The 19079-nt window shown below is 41.7% G+C and overlaps 1 long non-coding RNA gene across 2 annotated transcripts in view, besides 2 other annotated features; it reads left to right on the forward strand.

The window, feature by feature from the left end:
- The window catches only part of LOC105372790 (uncharacterized), a 69113-nt gene that overhangs the window by 44443 nt on the left and 5591 nt on the right, over positions 1 to 19079 (forward strand). The window contains exons 3-4 of one of the 2 annotated variants that reach the window (XR_937680.3): positions 11491 to 11592; positions 12064 to 15374. This is a non-coding gene — a long non-coding RNA (uncharacterized LOC105372790). Of the gene's footprint in view, positions 1 to 11490; positions 11593 to 12063; positions 15375 to 19079 lie in introns of those variants that run through there. The other variant, XR_937681.3, reaches the window with a different exon arrangement.
- Positions 4931 to 5030: an enhancer, noted in NCBI's record as "active region_18392". NCBI's record gives its function as "activates an Ori minimal core promoter by ATAC-STARR-seq in GM12878 lymphoblastoid cells {active_cell/tissue: GM12878}" and the evidence as "EXISTENCE:reporter gene assay evidence [ECO:0000049][PMID:35858748]".
- Positions 10080 to 11279: an enhancer, noted in NCBI's record as "MED14-independent group 3 enhancer chr21:35409658-35410857 (GRCh37/hg19 assembly coordinates)". NCBI's record gives its function as "activates an origin of replication core promoter dependent on BRD2, BRD4, P300/CBP and CDK7 cofactors, and independent of MED14, by STARR-seq in HCT116 cells {active_cell/tissue: HCT116}" and the evidence as "EXISTENCE:reporter gene assay evidence [ECO:0000049][PMID:35650434]".

The following is a 19079-nucleotide window of genomic DNA, read 5'->3' on the forward strand; positions in this document are numbered from 1 at the left end:
TCGAATTCCTGGCATCAGGTGATCCTCGGCCTCCCAAAGTGCTGGGATTACAGGCGTGGGCATGCCGGCAATGAGTTCCACTTTTTTTTAGACGTAAGTGAGATCATGTCATATTTATCCTTCTGTGTCTGGCTTATTTCACTTAGCGCAATATCTTCCAGACTTATCTGTTGTTCAAAATGTTGGGATTTCCTTCTCTTTTTAAGGCTGAATAATATTCCAGTGTATTCGTATGTGACATGTATGTATCATATGTTCTTTATCTACTTATCTGTTGATGGACACTTAGTTTAATTTCATGTCTTGGCTATTGTGAATAATACTGCAATAAACATGGGGGTGCATATGCATCTTCAAGATATTGATTTCATTTCTTTTGGATATATCCCTAGAAGTGGGATTGCTGGATCATATAATAGTTCTGTTTTTAGTTTTTTGAGGAATTTCTCCACAGCGGCTGTACTAATTTACATTTCCACCAAGTGTACAAGAGTTTCCTTTTCTCTGAAAGAGACCAGTACCAGTCCATGGCCTCTTAGGAACTGGGCTGCATAGCAGGAGTTAAGCAGCAGGCAAGCGAGTGAAGCTTTATCTGTGTTTACAGCCACTCCCTATTGCTCACATTAGTGCCTCAGCTCTGCCTCCTGTCAGATCAGCATTAGATTCTCCTAGGAGGGCGAACCCTACTGTGAATTGCACATGCGAGGAACCTAGGTGGTGCACTCCTTATGAGAATCTAATGCCTGAAGCTCCGTCACTGTCTCCCATCACCCCCAGATGAGACCATCTAGCAGGAAAACAAGCTCAGGGCTCCCATTGATTCTACGTTATACTGAGTTGTATAATTACTTCATTATATATTACAATGCAATAATAATAGAAATAAAGTGCACCATAAATGGAATGCGCTTGAATCATCCCCAAAGCATCCTCCACCCTGGTCCGTGGAAAGATTGTCTTCCAGGAAACTGGTCCCTGGTGCCAAAAAGGCTGAGGACCGCTGTTTTTGACAATAGTCATCTTGACAGTGTGAGGTGATATATTATTGTGGTTTTGATTCACATTTCCCTGATGAGATTTTATTTTTCATATAAAGATTTGATCAGATTTAAATGCTGATGGGAAGCCATTGGAGAGGAAAACATTTTCTGAAAATACAGTCATGTGTCACTTAACAAGAGAGATATTTGTTGCTGTTGTTTTTTCTTTCTTTCCTTCCTTCCTTCTTTCTTTCTTTTTTTATTTTTTTTTGAGACAGTGTCTCACTCTGTCACCCAGGCTGGAGTGCAGTGGTGCGATCTCGGCTCACTGAAACCTCCGCCTCCTGGGTTCAAGCGATTCTCATGCCTCAGCTTCCCAAGTAGCTGGGATTACAGGCACCCGCCACCACGTCCGGCTAATTTTTGTATTTTTAGTAGAGATGGGGTTTCACCATGTGGGCCAAGCTGGTCTCAAACTCCTGGCCTCAAGTGAACCGCCTGCCTCAGCCTCCAAAGTGCTGGGATTACAGGCATGAGCCACCATGCCTGGCCAACAATGAAGGCATGTCCTGAGAAATGCATTGTTAGGTGATTCTGTCATTGTGTGACCATCGTAGAATGTATTTACGCAAACCTAGATGGTATAAGGCACTACACTCCTAGGCTGTATGGTGTATCCTACTGCTCCTAGGCTACAGACTTGTCCAACATGACACTGTACTGAACACTGTAGGCAGTTGTAACCTAATGGTAAGTATTTGTGTATCTAAACATAGCGAAACATAGAAAAGGTACAGTAAAAATCGGGTATAAAAGATTAAAAATAGAGTGTAAAAGATAAAAAATGGTGCACCTGTATAGGGCCCTTGCCATGAATGGAGCTTACAGGACTGGAGTTTGCTGTAGGTGACTCTGAGTGAGTGGTGAGTGAATGTGAGGGGCATTACTGCCCACTCCTTTATAAACACTGTTATAGACTTTATGAACACTGTATGGCTACACTAAATTTATAAACACATGAAGTCATTGTGCTACAACATTACAATGGCTAGCACGTCACTGGGCGATAGGAATTTTTCAGCTCCATTATGGTCTTACGGGAGCTGTGGTATACACAGCCCGTTGTTGACTGAAACGTCGTTATGCGGCACTTGACTGTATAAGAAAGGGAAGATGTAGTCCCAGCTACTCGGGAGACTGAGGCAGGAGAATCGCTTGAACCCGGGAGGCGCAGGTTGCAGTGAGCCGAGATCACACCACTGCACTCCAGCCTGGGCGACAGAGCAAGACTCTGTCTCAAAAAAAAAAAATAAAATAAAAATAAAAATAAAAATAAAAAAGGAAGAATCTGTCAGTGAGCGAGGTGTCCAAAAGGGGTAAGTACGGGATCCAGAGTAGAGTACTGGGGTGCACAGGTGGGTCTGGAGGTCTGGCTGCAGGAAGCAAAGCTGGTTCCTGCCGGACAGCTCTCTGGGAGCCCGAGTGTAAGGCCAACTTAAAGGAAGGCAGAGCAGGTCAACTGGGGGGCTTGAGAAGTGAAAACAAAGTGGTCCACTGGCCAGAATGGGAGAGCTGACAAGGTAAACAGAAGATTCTGAGGCAGACACACGTAGCCCAGATGGAAGCGGGGTTCCGCAGACATTCTGACTGCCCCTCCTACGCACTCACTTTTCCTGGCTGACTAAGCCCCAGGGTCAGGAATGCACCACTGAGAGAAGGTAGCCCCTCTCTCTTTCTGCCGGATATTGGCAATTCTGCTGTAACAAACACCCCCAAGATTTTAGTGGCCTAAACTCATACATATTTATTTATTGTTCACTGGGTCAGCATCTCTCCTCAAGTGCAGATTCAGGGACCCAGGTTCCTTTCACCTTGTGATGCTGCCAGATGTATGACTTACAGAAGAAGCGAGAGGGTGGGTCATTCACACGGAGTTAGGCTCATCCCTTTGGTGTACATCTCATTGGCCAGGCCCAGTCATATGCCCTCAACTAACAGCAAGGGAAGCTGGGAAATGTAGTTTTCCTGCATGCTGAGGTGGAAGAATGACGTGGTCAGCACAGCGCAAGTCTCTGCCTCAGCATGTGATACCTGGAATTATGGCAGCATGGTACAACCATGAGGGCAACTAATCGGACATCTGAGGATGGAAGCGGGGGAAGATGCAAAGAACCTGGGTCTTTGGTGACGTCGTTAAGCAGCTGATGTAATCAGCCTGGGGTTTTCCTTTCTGTAGATTTTTTTTTTTTTTAAGGACAGATAATTTTTTTCTACTGCCAAATTTTTTTGAATTGGAAATTTTTCTGGTTACTTACAACCACAATTGGCATCATTCAAAAACCATTAATTTAATTACATTACTTAAACAACTTATTATACTTAGAGTATTATATTTCATCATAGGGAAGAAGTGGAACAGTATCTAGTTTATTGCTTAGATTTCAGGAAACTCAGCTTGTTTATTCTTGACCCCAGTGGGAAAGGGGATTCAAAATACTTTTTGTCTCAGAGTTGGGGTAGAATTGAATATTTGCATGACATTTACATCCTGTAAGAAACAATCAAGAATATGACCGTGCTGATTGGCATTTTAAGCAGTCTGTCATTGACTGACCGTAAATATGTGACCTGCTTTACAAACCTCTAATTCTTCATTCTTTTATTTATCAAGTACTTTTGTAGGACCTTCTACATGCGATTGCTTCTATCTTCATCTGCTAGGTTGTGCACTACTGAAGGGAGGTGTTTCTCTTATTTACTTTTATACCCGTGTTACCTAGCAAACAGGATTCCACACATAGATGGGACATAAATAAATATTTGTTGTCAGTCGCTGTGGCTCGTGCCTGTAATCCCAACACTTTGGGAGGCCGAGGCAGGTGGATCACCTGAGGTTAGGAGTTCAAGACCAGTGTGACCAATGTGGTGAAACCCCATCTCTACTAAAAATACAAAAATTAGCCGGTTGTGGTGGCGGGAGCCTGTAATCCCAGCTACTTGGGAGGCTGAGGCAGGAGAATTGTTTGAATTCGGGGGGTGGAGGTTGCAGTGAGCTGAGATCACACCATTGCACTCCAGCCTGGGTGACAGAGTGAGACTCTGTCTCAAAAAATAAATAAATAAATAAATTGTTGAATGAAGTTTGATCTGATCTTCCTGGTAGAATTGAAAATGAGTGGGGTTTAGACAGTGTTGGAATGGAATTTTGACTTTATAACTCTCATTAGGTGATTTTGGGGAAGTTCCTTAATCTATCTGAGCCTCAGATTCCTACTTATTGAGGATAACAATCCACAAGACAGCATATGTAAAGTGTCTAGCTTATGGCCCGGCACAAAACAGGCCCATTGTAAATAGCGGTCTTTCTTCCAGTATGTTATATAGATCAAGTCGTTTCAATAGATGAATACTCTAAAAACTCAAATTTTATGGTAAACAGTTAAGAAAGTGAATCCACTGCCAGAAAATTATGTAAAGCACATTGCAAATTATATTTGGATTAGTTTCTCTTTGGATGATCCATGACAGGGTTTTCTGCTATTTGTGAAGATAGTTGAGAGTCAACAATCTTTCATTTTCACTCACATGTACCCAGAGCATCTCCCAAACACACAAATGCAAAGAATGGAATTTTCTCTCCAATTTCCAGATGAGGTATTTATCTTTGCGGCTGAGCTAAAGGATAGCTTAAAATCGAATCTCATGCTAACACTACGGGCTCGACCAACTGTTCTTCTTAGTTTAAGTGATTTCTCTCATAACTGAGCTGGGCGACGCAGTTTTATGACAAGGTTAGACAGCAGTAATTCATTCCTGTTGGTGTTGGCTGTGCAGGTGAGGCAGATGGCATGGCTTGTGCTTATTTTGTTTGGATTAGAGAGCGCTGCACTCACTCAGAAGTCCTCAGTTGAGTCGCAGATCTGTGACTTAGTCACACTGTGACCTTGGGCGTGTGAGTTCAAACACGCCCTGGTTTCAGTTTCTTCTTCTGTACAATTAGGGCTTTAGACCAGGTGTTCTGGAGGTGTCTCGAACCCTAAATTCTATGATAGGGGTTTCTTTGCTGCTTCCTTTTCCCCTTATTTATTTATTATTTCAGTATTCATGTCTCAAATAATTTAAAAAAAAGAACAAAAGCATGTGTATGCACATAGTCATTACTCTATTATTTTTCCATGGGGGGAAAAAAAGGAAATAGCCTAAGTGTCCAATATGACAGAAAAGGCTAAGTAAATGATAACAAATCAATCAATTTGGTGAAATATTATCCAATGGTCAAAAGGGTTGTTTATGAAGCCTCCCTAGCAAAATGGGAAAATGTGTCTGTCTGATGTTAAATGAAAAAGACAGAAGATAAGTGATCCCTCTGCCATGATAACAACACTCTAAAAAATACACAGAAATATGTGTGGATTCTAGAAGGGAGTGTGAGAAGTGGAAACAGTTGATACATTAAAAATATGATGATTTTCTCACTTCTAGTGGGAGGAAGGAAGTGTTCAATATATTTCAGGTTTCCCTTTGGGTGTCTTGTTTTGTACATTTATCTAAGGTGGGCTAATTGGGTTAGGTGCCTTAAGTGCTGGAAGGGGCTGGGGAATAGCTAACCTCAAGCAGGTTAGAGTCCAGTCCTTCTCTCTTCTGAGTCAAAGCTCCTTCCATAATAAGAGAGGAAAATGATCAATGTGTTCCTCAAATAGATTGAGCTTTGCTTTTTATTTTCCTGCCTCCCTCCACTGCTACCTTCTCCTTCTCCTCCCTCCCTTCTCTCTCTCTCTCCGTTTTGTTTGTTGTTATTTACCTTTCCCCCAACACTTATTTTCCCATTGGAGAAAAATGTACATATAATGAAATGCACAGCTGTAACGCGTACAGTTCCCTGAGTTTTGATAAATGTATACACCCCTGTAATCAACCCTCCCATGAAGATCATCAAGATACAGAACATTCCTATCACCTCAGAAAGTTCTCTGTGTTCCTTTCCAGTAAATCACCTGCCCCCCAGACAACCAGTGTTCTGATCTCTATCAACACAGATTAGTTTTACCTGTTCTAGAACTTCATCTCAATGGAATCACATGGCTGGCCTCTTTTTTTTCGGTCTGGCTTCTTTGGCTCCACATTCTGTTTTTGAGATTCGTCTATCTTGTGTGTATCACAGCTCATTCTTTTTTATTCCTAGTTAGTATATTCCTGAATGATGGCTCCAAAGATATCCAGGTCTTAATCCTGGAAACTTTGAACGTTATGCTGCCAAAGAGATTTTGCAGATGTCGACTGAATTAAAGATCTCGAGATGAAGGATTAGCTCGGATTATTCAGGTGGTCCCTAGATGTCATCACAAGTAAGAGGAAGGCCAAGGGAGATTGACTACAGAAGAAGAGTAGACAATGTGATCACAGAGGCAGAGACTGGAGGAGCGTAGGGGGCCGCCAGAAGACAGAAAGGCCAGGAAATGGATTCTTTCCTAGAGCCCCCAGAGGGAACCAGCCCTGCCAACACCTTGACTTTAGCCCAGTGAAATTGAATTTAGACTTCTGACCTCTAGAACTGAAAAAGAATAAATTCGTACTGTTTTTGTTGTTGTTATTTGAGACAGAGCCTCCCAGGCCGGATGGAGTGCAGTGGTGTGATCTCAGCTCACTGTAACCTCTGCCTCCCAGCTCAAGGGATTCTCTGCCTCAGTCTCCCGAGTAGCTGGGATTACAGGTGCCCACCACGGTGCCCAGCTAATTTTTGTGTTTTTAGTAGAGACAGGGTTTCATCATGCTGGCCAGGCTGGTCTCGAACTCCTGATCTCAGGTGATCCACCTGTCTTGGCCTCCCAAAGTGCTGGAATTACAGGCATGAGCCACCACGCCTGGCCTGTTTTAAGCCACTAATTTTGTGGTAATTTGTTATAGTGACAATAGGAAACTAATATAATTTTAAACACAATTTGTTTATCCATGCACCTCTTGATACGTGGGGTTATTTGCTGTCTGGAACTATTCTGAATAAAGCTGCTAGGAACATTCTTATGCAAGTCCTTGTGTGGACATATGTTTTCATTTCTCTTGGGTAAATATACCTAGGAATGGAATTTCAGAGGCATACAGTAGTTATGTGTTTAACGGTATAAGAAACTTTCAGTTTTCCCAATTAGTTTTACCATTTTATACTTAACAGTATGAGACCTGACCATCTTAAAAAACACATGCACACAAAACAGGAAGGTTGGGGTCATTCACCCCAAAGGGTAAGGGACTGGTGGGAGTCAATCCGTGTGTGTGTTCTGGATGATTCTAGACCCTGACTGTACTTCCAGAGTCTCAGCATGAGCTGTAGTACAGATTTATGCCTAGATTAGTTTTTCTTTATTTTCTTTCTTGAACAAGAAATGGTTCACCTGATACACCGCTCTCATCCTCTTCTTCCCTCCCGTGTTCCTGTGCTTCCTATCAGCACGCACTGTCCTTTCCCTGTGGGCGGTAGTCACACCCCCAAAGACCTGGACAACCTAGGGAACAGGAGCCAGTGAGTCTAGACCTCAGAGTCCTGAGAACGACACAGAAAACAAGTCTGCAGTGTGCTGCATGCCTCTGCCGTGTGGGGCAGTCAACCATATTATTCTTCAGTTAATGGAATTTTCTTTCTCCTCTAAGTAGGAAAACACCAGTAGCTCAGATGCCACCCACTGCAGTAGTTGATAAAACACTCAAAGAAAAGGAAGCAGGGAGAAAGAGGAAAATCTCCCTGGATCTGTTTTGTTTTGTTTTTTCTTTTACTTTTTCTTTTTCTTTCTTTCTTTTTTTTTTTGGTGGGCAGTGAGGTGGGGGTTCCTGGGTGGGGTGTAGCAGGGAGCCGTTTTGTTATTTTTGCTTTTTTTTTCGCCTAAAGAAAATTTGCCAGGTCCCCTTCCAATTCTGATCCCACTAGATTCCAGAAGTCTTCTGAGGTTAAGCTCAAGGACAAAGAGATGGTTGTTTTCCAGGTGCAATTTTGGTGAGCCAAGCTTTGACTCCCGAAAGAGGGTCTGGAATTTGGAAATCAGCTGGTTTGTCCCCCCTTGCCCCCCAGATTTCTCAAACTTGTTCAGATCATAGATCTCTCAAAACAAAATGGCTTATCAGCTCCTCTCATCTCCTTCCGTTTATAACACCTGCGTAGTAATACCTTGCATAGCTCACTAAGCACACCTCCTTCCATATGAGCTGTGTTATATTGTGGTACATCATTTGGAACTGCTGAGTCTATATGGAAATCCTGATGTACTCTCGTAGACCACTAGCCACACTGAGAGTGTTGGAAACTAAAGACCCCAGGTGTCCTTTGGAGCCAAGGACAGTTGTCTTGTACAAGATCAGTGGGGCTGGACCCATCCATTTGTGAGTCCTGAAGTCGAGCTCAATGATATTGTCTTTTGCAGTGACTGAACGGGCTCCCATGCCAGGCCTGGCTGGATGTTGGCCTGGGAGCCCTCTTTGCGCACGGTGGTACAAGTCCTCTCCCTGCTGTGCAGAACTAAGAGCTCTGGAATGTGGGCACAGCATGTGGTATAGGCACATGCCTGGTCCTCTGCAGGTTTAGAACAAGTTTGCACAGACATGGAGACCTCATGGGAGGGACAGTGCATTGCTTTGCAAAGGAAATTATTTGGACAAGCCCTCAGCTTTCATGCCAAGCAAGAGGTAGAACTACTCAGTTAACCCACCTTGGCATGAAAGTGCTGCCCTGGGTGTAAAGGAGACTTTTCTCCCAGGTATCCTTCTATATTGGACTCATACCAGCCCCAGACATTTGTTGTGCCAGGCATGACAATACATGCTTGACCTACGTCATCACTTTATCTTGTCACCGTACTTGGAAGGGAGGTGCAGAAACAGCAGCGCAACTTCTTCCAAGTGCCTACATTTCCCCATCGCCTTCCAAGCTAGGCATCCAGAGAATCTGCACCCTGTGGTTCTGGGATATGACAGCAGCAGGGTGTATGGGCATGGGCTTGTCCTCTCAGGTTGAGCCAGTTTGCACAGGTGTCAACACCCCATGGGTACCATGGTGCAGCCTAGCATCATGAAAAGAACAGGACATTTGGGTAAAATGATAAGAATGTGAATGTGAATCCCGGGCAGTGGTGAGGATCAAAGGTCAAAGGGGACCGTGAGAATGAAGGTGCTTTGTCAACTGTCAAGGGGCATACAGATACGGATGATTCTTGCTCTTGGTTGGGAAGGTAACACTCATTCAGGCAACATGAGAGTACTCGTCTTTAGCAGAAAATGGTACCCAGTGAGATTAGCACCCAGCAAGGTGGGTGGTATACAGAGAGGTGGTCGTACTAATGTGGAGGCTGGTTCCCATTGACGAGGTGGGGACTCAGTGAGGAGATTGTTACTCAGGAAGGAGGATGGTACCCAGTGGGGAGGATGCGCCCAAGGGGGAGGGTGTGCTCAGCAGGGAGGTTGGTATCCAGGGAGGATGATGGTACCCAGTGGGAAAATTAGTACTCACTGGGGAGACTAGCACCCATTGGTGAGGTTGTACCCATTGGAAAGATTGGTACCAGGGGGAAGGTTTTACCCAGGAGGAAGGTTGTACCCATTGGAGAGACTGGTACCAGGGGGAAGGTTTTACCCAGGGGGAAGGCTGTACCCATTGGAGAGACTGGTACCAGGGGGAAGGTTTTACCCAGGGGGAAGGCTGTACCCATTGGAGAGACTGGTACCAGGGGGGAGGTTTTACCTAGGGTGAAGGCTGTACCCATTGGAGAGACTGGTACCAGAGGAAGGTTTTCCTCAGGGGGGAGGTTGTACCCTACTGGGGAGATTGGTACCAGTGGGGAGGTGGCACCCGGGGGGAGCTTGGTACCCAGTAGGGAGTTTGCTGCACACTGGGAGACTGGTACCCAGTAGGAAGGTTGTAACCAGCGGGGAGGTTGGACCTAGTAAGGAGTTTGGACCTTGGAGAGTCTCATCACCTGATTTAGGCTGTGAAGCGGACTACGGGCAGAGGTCAAATAAGATAGAGGTGACTTGTGCAATTTTTCACATTTAAATAAAAAAGCAGAGGCATGGACAAATCTTCAGTACCCTGCCCACGTTAGATGTTTTAGAGCATCCATTTATCCATGTTGGTTTTAGATTTCTGCCCAAGGAAGCCTAAAGTCAACATTACTGTGATCAAATGGAGCTCACATTTCTCCTGCCTGGAAATACCTATAATTCCTTAAAACAATGTTTCAATTTACCACAAGTCTGGTGGCATTTCAAAGTGTAATAAAAAACCCACCATCCTTTTCCTGCCTCCCACTCTTGGTGTTCTGGAGAAGACTGCGGAACACACACGGACTTTTAATCAAGGGGAGACGGCTCTTCCTCTGTTTTGTGTACCTTTGTCTTTCCTGGAGTAGAGTGCTGTGATAAACCTACAGATGCCGGTGACTCAGGCTGGGTCATGGGAAGAAGTGGGCGAGTCGGAGCCAGATGAATTTGTGGTGTGCTTTCCTATCCAGCTGACATGTTGCAGAGGTTAAGTATGGTGGAGTTTTAGGCCAATTTGGAGCCATTCATTTACTCAGTGAGCTTCATCAACCCATCCCTCACCCACCATGTGCCTGCATTTGCACTGGTGTTTGGCAGGTACATCTCGACCTGTTAAAATATTGAACTACTTTCACACTGGTTGTCAAGTAACCACTGCCTGGATACCTTCCAACCTCCCCAAGGGCTTGTGTCCATTCTAATTGGTTAGTTTCTGTTATTACACTGATTGCTGAATAGTTGACACCCCAGATTATGGAACAATTAAAACAAATCCTCTCCCAACAAGGGGGTGGCAGATGCCATGCCTTCCTTTCCCTGGAAAATTCCCCATGACTCTTTCAGGATGCAAGGAGGCCCCAACTGCTATTTTTGTTTAGGTGATTGAGAAAACCAAGTGTGGAGAAGAAACTCCGTTGACGTGATAAAAAGAGCAGAATTAATATTTGCTATCTCTTTTTCTGGTGCCAAGAAAGTTACTGGAATAATTCAACCAGATAAAATAAGTAGATATGTGACTTTAAAAAGATGAAGTTTGTACAATGAGGCAGATGCCATCTGGCCCAGGAGGAATTTAGTGATGGCGGCATCATTCTCATTAATGTCAGAACTGCCCGGGGTTGTTGTCTATTTGTACAGTCTAGGGAGATGTTGAAGGCAAAATTCAGAAAGCAATTCTAATTCTGAGGTTTTCAATCCTGAACCCACAGTTGATCACCATAGGCATGCCCATACTGGAAACCTCGCATTAGTTTCTGTATTTTTTTCCTGGTGATATGTGATCAATACAAAGTATTTGAATACCTGATGTTACATACTTTCCCCCATCTCAGCCACCACTAACCCTTCCCCTCATCCTCCTCAAGGGAACCTTCATTAATGATTTCATGTGCTCCTTTTCTGGCCTTTCTAATGCCTATATATCAACCTATATTTTAATGCTTAACATATAGTGTCTATAATCTGCTTCTTTTCACTTACTGTATGGCAGACAACTTCTGTAGCAGATGATATGGTGTGCTCTCAGATGCTGCTTCAGAGTGAAGGCACTCATTCCCCGGCTGTCAGGAAGCTGACTGGTGATGGGTCACAGGTAAGCCCTTTCTCAGGATTTGCCATTGGCAAGGTTACACCTTCTCTCCAGAGGACAATTCACATCCAATGTTTGGCCAATGTGGAGCATAGAGGCTCAGTCTTCCCTCTGAGAAGCTCCCCAGCTCCAGAGTTTCCTGTGGGATCGGCTGAGACCCCCCGTTCCACCTGCATCTCAGTTTGACTTCTCTTTCTGTCCCCTCTTGCTGCCCTCATTCCCTCAGGTATTCATTGTAACTGAAGGCCTTTCCCAGTAAAATGCCAGCCCACAAACCTCCAACTCAGATGTTCCCCAGGAATCAGTCTAACACAATGCTCATCATGTTGACATCTTCAAGCATTCCACTATATAGAATCTAACAAACAATATGTTGAGTCTCATTCCTATAATCATGTTTGATATTTTCTGTTTATTATTCTTTCTTGTTTCTTTCTAATTTTTAATGGATTTAATTTTGTTTCATTTTAACAGATTAATAGTTTCCTTTGTATTTCTTTTCCTCCTGGATCAACCCTGTTCAACAGAAGTATATCAAGGCCACATTTGTGATTTAAACTTTTCTAGCAGCCATGAAGGCATGACTCATTGGGGATCATCTTAGAATCCTGCTTACCACACACGTTAAAAAAGGTTTAAAGAAGCAAAATTAGTTTTAAAAAAATGCGTTGTTATTATTTTATAGAGACAGGGTCTCACTATGTTTCCTAGGCTGGTCTCAAACTCCTGGGCTCAAGCAATCCTCCTGCCTCAGCTTCCCAAAGTGCTGAGATACAGTGTGAGCTACTGCATCAGGCTCCAGATTAATTTTAACAATACATTTTACTGGATCTAATATAACCAGAATATTATCATTTCAAAATATATTTGGAGTAAAAATGATTATGGATATATATATAGAGAGAGTGTATTTTGAAAGCCAGTGTGTGTTTTATACTTAGAGCACGTCTCAGTTCGCACCAGCCACATTTCAAGGGTTTGACAGCCACGTGTACTAGTAGTGGCTGCTGCACTACACGGTGCACTTCTAGAGGGTTCAAAGTTTCCATTAAAATTGTATTCTAGGACACCAGCCAAAATGGCAAATAAGGATCTCCGAAAATTCCCTCCTCCATAAAAGCAACAAGAACATTATCAAAAAATGTCAGAATCAACGTTTTCAGAACTTTGGAAATTAACCAAAGGCTTGCAGCAATCTGGGAAACATTTATTTAAGAAAACAGCAGAATCTTGGTAAGAACAGGGAGCTTTGTGGCACTTTAACTTGCCGTATTCCCATCCCCACCCTCCCCAGCACCACATTAGCTGTGAAATCCAACAGCCTGCAAAACGACCTGTGACCACAGGGGAAAGTCCGGCAGTCACTGGAAGGGCTTAGAGCTCCTCAAGGCCCATTCTCGGAGAATTGTCATTATTTGACCTCTCTGGTCACACTACTTGCAAGGCTGTTTTTATTTGAGCTGACTTAGAGCTCATCCAGCACAAATAAAAGCAGCCTTGAGAGTAGGGTCAATTATTGAACCTCACAGCTGACTGAGGTAGTGGATAACAAGTGGGATAGACAATGTGCTAACCAAAAAACATAAAAGAAAAAGCAGAGGAATGGGATGTCCTTGGAGAGAGTGGGCGCTTTAAAAAGTTCTAACAATATTCCTGGGAATATAGAAAGCCATACAAATGTTTAGGGCTGTGTGGACACCCAGTGCTGTGTGTGTGCCCAGGAAATATCCAAGAAGACCCTGGCTCTCACCTCTGGCCAACCTTGAGCCTCTGCTGAAGCAGGAAGTGAAGGCTAAGATGGAGCTGTAAGGTGCTTGGCTGAATGCTGAAGGAAACACACGCAGAACTTCTTGGTAAAGACTGAGAGTCTTATTGGTTCCAGTCATCTAAGGAAGTCTTTGTTGAATCATTAAATGACCACTAAGCTAACTGGTCGAGACTCACTGGCCACACAAAACAAAGAATATACCTTTATAGAATTAGTTCAGGAAAGTCACCAACCATCCAACCAAACAATACCAATTAAATAGTAACAACAACAAACCCAGGGCAAAATCTGATTTCCAGAGTTGCTATGTTATATTGTTTTAAAAGTCTAGTTTTTACCAAAAATTATGAAACACGCCAAGAAACAAGAGAGTCTGTCTCATATGCAGGGAAAAAGACACTCAATAGAAACTGTCCCCAAGAGGGCACAGACACTGGATTTTCTATACAAAGACTTAAATCAACTATGTTAAATATGTTTTAAAAACCCTAAAAAACTAAAGGAAACCGTGGCTATACAGGGAAAAATGTCTCATATACAGAAACTCCTAAGGAATCCACAAAACACAAGATCAATATACAAAAATCAATTTTGTTTCCGTAAGCTAGCAGTGAACAACACAAAAATGAAATTAAGAAAAACAATTCCACTTAGTATCCAAAAATGTTTAGGAATAAATTTAATGAAAGAAGTGTAAGACTTTTAACTGAAAACTCTCAAACATTGGTGAAAGAAATTAAAGAAGACCTACATAAATGGAAAGACATTCCTGTGTTCATGGACTGGAAAATGGCAATTTTCTCCAAATTGAAATCACTATAAAAATTCCAGATGCTGGGCTTTTTTTTTGTTTTGTTTTGTTTTAGAAATTGAGAAGCTGATTCTAAAATTCATATATAAATTCAAGGGATCCACAATAGCTAAAACAATCCTGAAAAAGAATAACAAAATTGGAGGACTCACATTTCCCAGTTTCAAAACATAAGCTACAGTAATCAAGACTGTGTGGTTCTGACCTAAGGATAGACATAGACAATGGAATAGAATTAAAAGTCCAGAAATAAACCCATATATTTATAGTCAATTGATTTTCAACAATAGTGCCAGGACATTCAATGGGGGGAAAATAGTCTTTTCAACAACTGGTGCTGAGATAACTGGATATCCACATGCACAAAAGAAGAAATTGGATCCCTTACCTTACACCATATACAAAATTTAACTCAAAATGGATCAAAGACTTTGCTGTAAGACTCTTAGGAGAGAGCATAGATGTAAATAATCATTACCTTTAATTAAGCAAGTTTCTTGGCTATGACACTAAAAGCATAAGCAATCAAAGAAAAAATAGATAAATTGGACTTCATCAAAATTTTAAAAATCTGTGCTTCAAAGTACACGATCAAGAAAGGAAAAAGACAAGTCACAGAGTGGGAGGAAATATTGTTGAATCACATGTCTGATAAGGGTCTAGTATCCAGAATATATTGTTGGGGCTCAGAAAACATTACCCCCAAATAGGACACTTTGACATGAAGCAACCTCGAGGTCTCTCTGACCTCCCTGGTCCCTGCACCCGACTATTCCTCTGTCTCTCTCAAAGCACAGAATGTAGTTGTTCACTGAAATTCCCTTATCTACCTAGACACTGAACCTACTAAAGAGAAACACAATTGCCTTCCCTGAAATTTAACTAGAGAAGAATAAACTCATAACACAGAGGAAGAGATTGAAAATTAAACACCAGACAAACTTTGTCCCAAACCACTGTCTTCTCTCTGTCCCATTCAATTTCCAAAGAAAACTATTTACTAACCATTGTCTGAGCATTAGACCCATTCATTTCCCCTAAAAATCATTTACTATCCCTCAAATCAGCCACATTTCCCCATGTTCTTTTTCCCTATGAAGAAGAATATATAAGCATGTGTATCCCTTTGGGTTACTGGGTAATTATTCTCCTGCAATTCCAATGTGATGTGTTAAAATAAATCTGTATGCTTTTTTCTTCTATTAATCTGCCTTTGTCAGTTTATTTTCAGCAAACCTTCAGAGGGTGATGGGGGAAGAGTTCTCTTCTTCCCCCTATAATATAAAGGACTATTACAACTCAACAATTAAAAGACAACCCAGATTAAAAGTGGGCACTATAGTCGAATACATATTTTTCCAGTAAAGATATACAAATGGCTAATGAGCACATGAATAGATGCTCCATATCATTAGTCACAGGGAACTGGAAGTTAAAACCACAGTGAGATATCATGTCACATTCACTAGAATGACTATTATCAAAGACAGTCAATAACAAGTGTTGCCAATATGGAGAAGCTGAACCCTCCATACATTACTGGTAGGAATAGAAAACTGTGAAGCTGCTTTGGGAAAGAGTTTGACAGTTCCTCAAAAAGTTAAACATAGAGTTTTCATGTGACTCAGTTGTTCCACTCCTAGGTACATACTCAAAAGAAATGACATTTGCCCACAAGAAACCTTGTATGTGAATGTTCATAGCAGCATTATTCATAATAGCTAGAAAATAAAAACAATCCAAATGTCCATCAACTAGTGAACAGATAAACAAAAGGTGGTGTACCTATCTAATGGAATACTTTTCAGCCATAAAAAGGAATGAAATACTGATTCATGATACAACAGGAATGCACCTTAAAAACACTGTGCTAAATTAAAGAAGCCAGACATCAACAGCCACATACTGTATGATTCCATTTACAGTAGCCCCCCCTTTTCTGCATTCCAAGATCCCCACTGGATGCCTGGAACTACAGATAGTACCCAACCCTATGTATACGATGTTTTTCAATCTGATAACCAAGATGGCTACTAAGTGACTAACAAGCAGGTAGTGTATGCAGTATGGATATGCTGGACCAAGGATGATTCACATCCCAGGTGGGACAGCACAAAATTTCATCATGCTACTCAGAATGGCGTGCAATGTAAAGCATATGAATTCTTTACTTCTGGAATTTTCTACTTAATATTTTCTGATCATGATTGACCATGGGTAACTGAAACTACAGAAAATGGAAAGTGCGGATAACGGGAACTATTGTATATAAAATGTCTAGAAGAGGCAAATCCATAGATACAGAAAGATTTGTGGCTGCCAGGACCTGGGCGTGGGGAGACAGGAAAATGGGAGATGACTGCTAATGGGTGTGGAGGTGCTTTCTGCGGCGATTAAAATGAGATAATGATAATGTTTGCACAACTTTGTGAATATATTAAAATGTATTAAATTGTAAACTTTAAAAGGTGAATTTTATAGTATATGACTATATCTTAATTTTTAATATGAAGTATTTTTTAAATAAAAGAAAATATTATATTCTATCAGGCATTCTTAAATTTTTAACAAATCTATTTTTTATTTCTCTATCGACATCAAGGTTGAAACAGCATATGTAACCCTCCTTCCCTTCTATCATCTCTGCAACGCAAGAAACTTAACATGCTTTCATTCTCCTAGTCACCTCTCTACAATCTAGATTTTCTTGTTGATGATGATGATGAAAAGAATCTGTAATTATTACTTGTTGAATGTTAAGTACCATGTATCATGTTTATTTTATAAGCATTATCTTATTTTTCCCAAGGTCTTAACTACTACCTCAAACTACCTCTCAGACTGTTTAGGGATTTTTAAAAACATTATGTCTTCTATTTTAAGCCTCCTTTAAACAATTTTAAATTAAATGGTACAACTACTCTGTCAATGAATTTTTTGTATTGGTTTCTTAAAGCCCCTTCTGTAGCTTCTGTGATACCACATAATCTCAGTGTTCTTTTGCCTCTTGGAGGTTCCCTCTCATTCTCTTTTGCTTAGTTGTCCTCCTGTTCGTCACCCCTAAATATCGGGGTGTCCAACACTGAGTCCTCAGAGTGCTTCTCTTTTCACTTACCTGACACCTTGGGTGATCTCATCTGGTCCCATGGCCTTGAACAGCACCCTTTGCAGATAATTCTCAAATTTGTATCTCCGGTCTTAACCTCTCTCCTAAACTCCACCTGTCAATTTGACATGTTCACTTGGATGTCCAATAGGCATCTCAAACGTAACATGTCCAAAATCAAACTCTTGATTCTGTCCCCAGACTTGCTCTTCCTCCAGTGTTCTCCATCTTTGTGAATGGCACCTATTCACCCAGTTACTCAGGTTGAAAACTTTAAAATCAAACTTGAATCCTCTCTTTCTCTCACGCTCTCCAAATTCAATCCTGTTGGTTCTACCTTCAAGCACATCTCCAGTTCCTCACTAATACTGTCCTGGCCCAGAGCACCACCACACTTCTGGAATACCACAGTAGGCTATTTTTTTTTTTTTTTTTTGAGATGGAGTTCCACTTTTGTTGTCCAGGCTGGAGTGTAATGGCACGATTTCGGCTCACTGCAACCTCTGTGGAATACCACAGTAGGCTCTGACCAGTCTTGATTCTTTCCTTCTTGCCTCCCTATCATCTTGTCTCCAAACTGAAGACCGAGTGATCCTTGCTATAGTTTCTCATCACATGGGGTCTGCAGACCTTAGGCGATCTGGCTCCTGGGCACCACTCCCATTTTACTTCTCACTGTTTTCTTTGCATTATCTTCACTCCAGCCACACTGGCCTTCCTATTTTTTTTGTTTGTTTTGAGACAGAATCTTGCTCTGTGGCCCAGGCTGGAGTGCAGTGGTATGATCTCAGCTCACTGCAACCTCTGCCTCCCACGTTCAAGCGATTCTCCTGCCTCAGACTCCCAAGTAGCTGGGATTACAGGCACACGCCATCACCCGGCTAATTTTTGTATTTTTAATAGAGATGGGGTTTTGCCGTATTGGCCAGGCTGGTCTCAAACTCCTCACCTCGGGTGATCCGCACACCTCAGCCTCCCAAAGTGCTGGGATTACAGGCGTGAGCCACTGCATCTGGCCAAATTATTATTATAGCTCAGTTTTCTAATCTGTGTAATAGGGATAATAATAATAATACTTACTCCATGGTGATGTTGGAGTGATTAAATGAGACACTATATCTAGATTTGTTCAGAATAGTACTTGAATCAGAGTAAATCCACAATAAATGTTGGCTATTATTATTACAATTACACACTGGACTTTTTTCCTTGATGTCTTTATTCTGCTTCTTCTTTCTTAATTTGGTTATTCTTAGAAAGGGTAAAAAATAATGAATGTTCTATTTTCCTGCATTCCAAGTCTTTTTCTTTGATTATCACATGCTTGACCAATAGTAAATGCTCAATAAATGTGAGCTATCAGGTTGGTGCAAAAGTAAGTGCAGTTTTTTGCCATTAAAATAATGGTTTTTGCCATTACTTTTGCACCAAACTAATAATTATATTTAGAATACACAAAACCTTCCCTTTCTGGTTATTCTTACTCTGATGCATTTCTATTGGATTACCCTTTAAGTAACTTCAGAAGAAACAAGGGGTCTTCATCTTTATACGTAATCTTCTTCAGAAGAAGTTTAACTTCAGAACTTTAACTTCAGTAACTTCAGAACTTTTTAGAAGTTTAAGTAACTTCTTCAGAAGAAACATGTAATCTTCATTTTTATATGTCCAAACCTGTCTCCCTTTTACAATCACACATGAATCACAGTTTGGATGGGAAGAGATTTCTAGAATTACCTCAGAATTTGGTCAATGTTCTCAATACGTAGTCCTTTGTTTTTGTTTGGAAGTGTATGGAACTTTCT

The sequence above is a fragment of the Homo sapiens genome, chromosome 21, assembly GCF_000001405.40.
Source record: "Homo sapiens chromosome 21, GRCh38.p14 Primary Assembly".
Taxonomy (NCBI): Eukaryota; Metazoa; Chordata; class Mammalia; order Primates; family Hominidae; genus Homo; species Homo sapiens.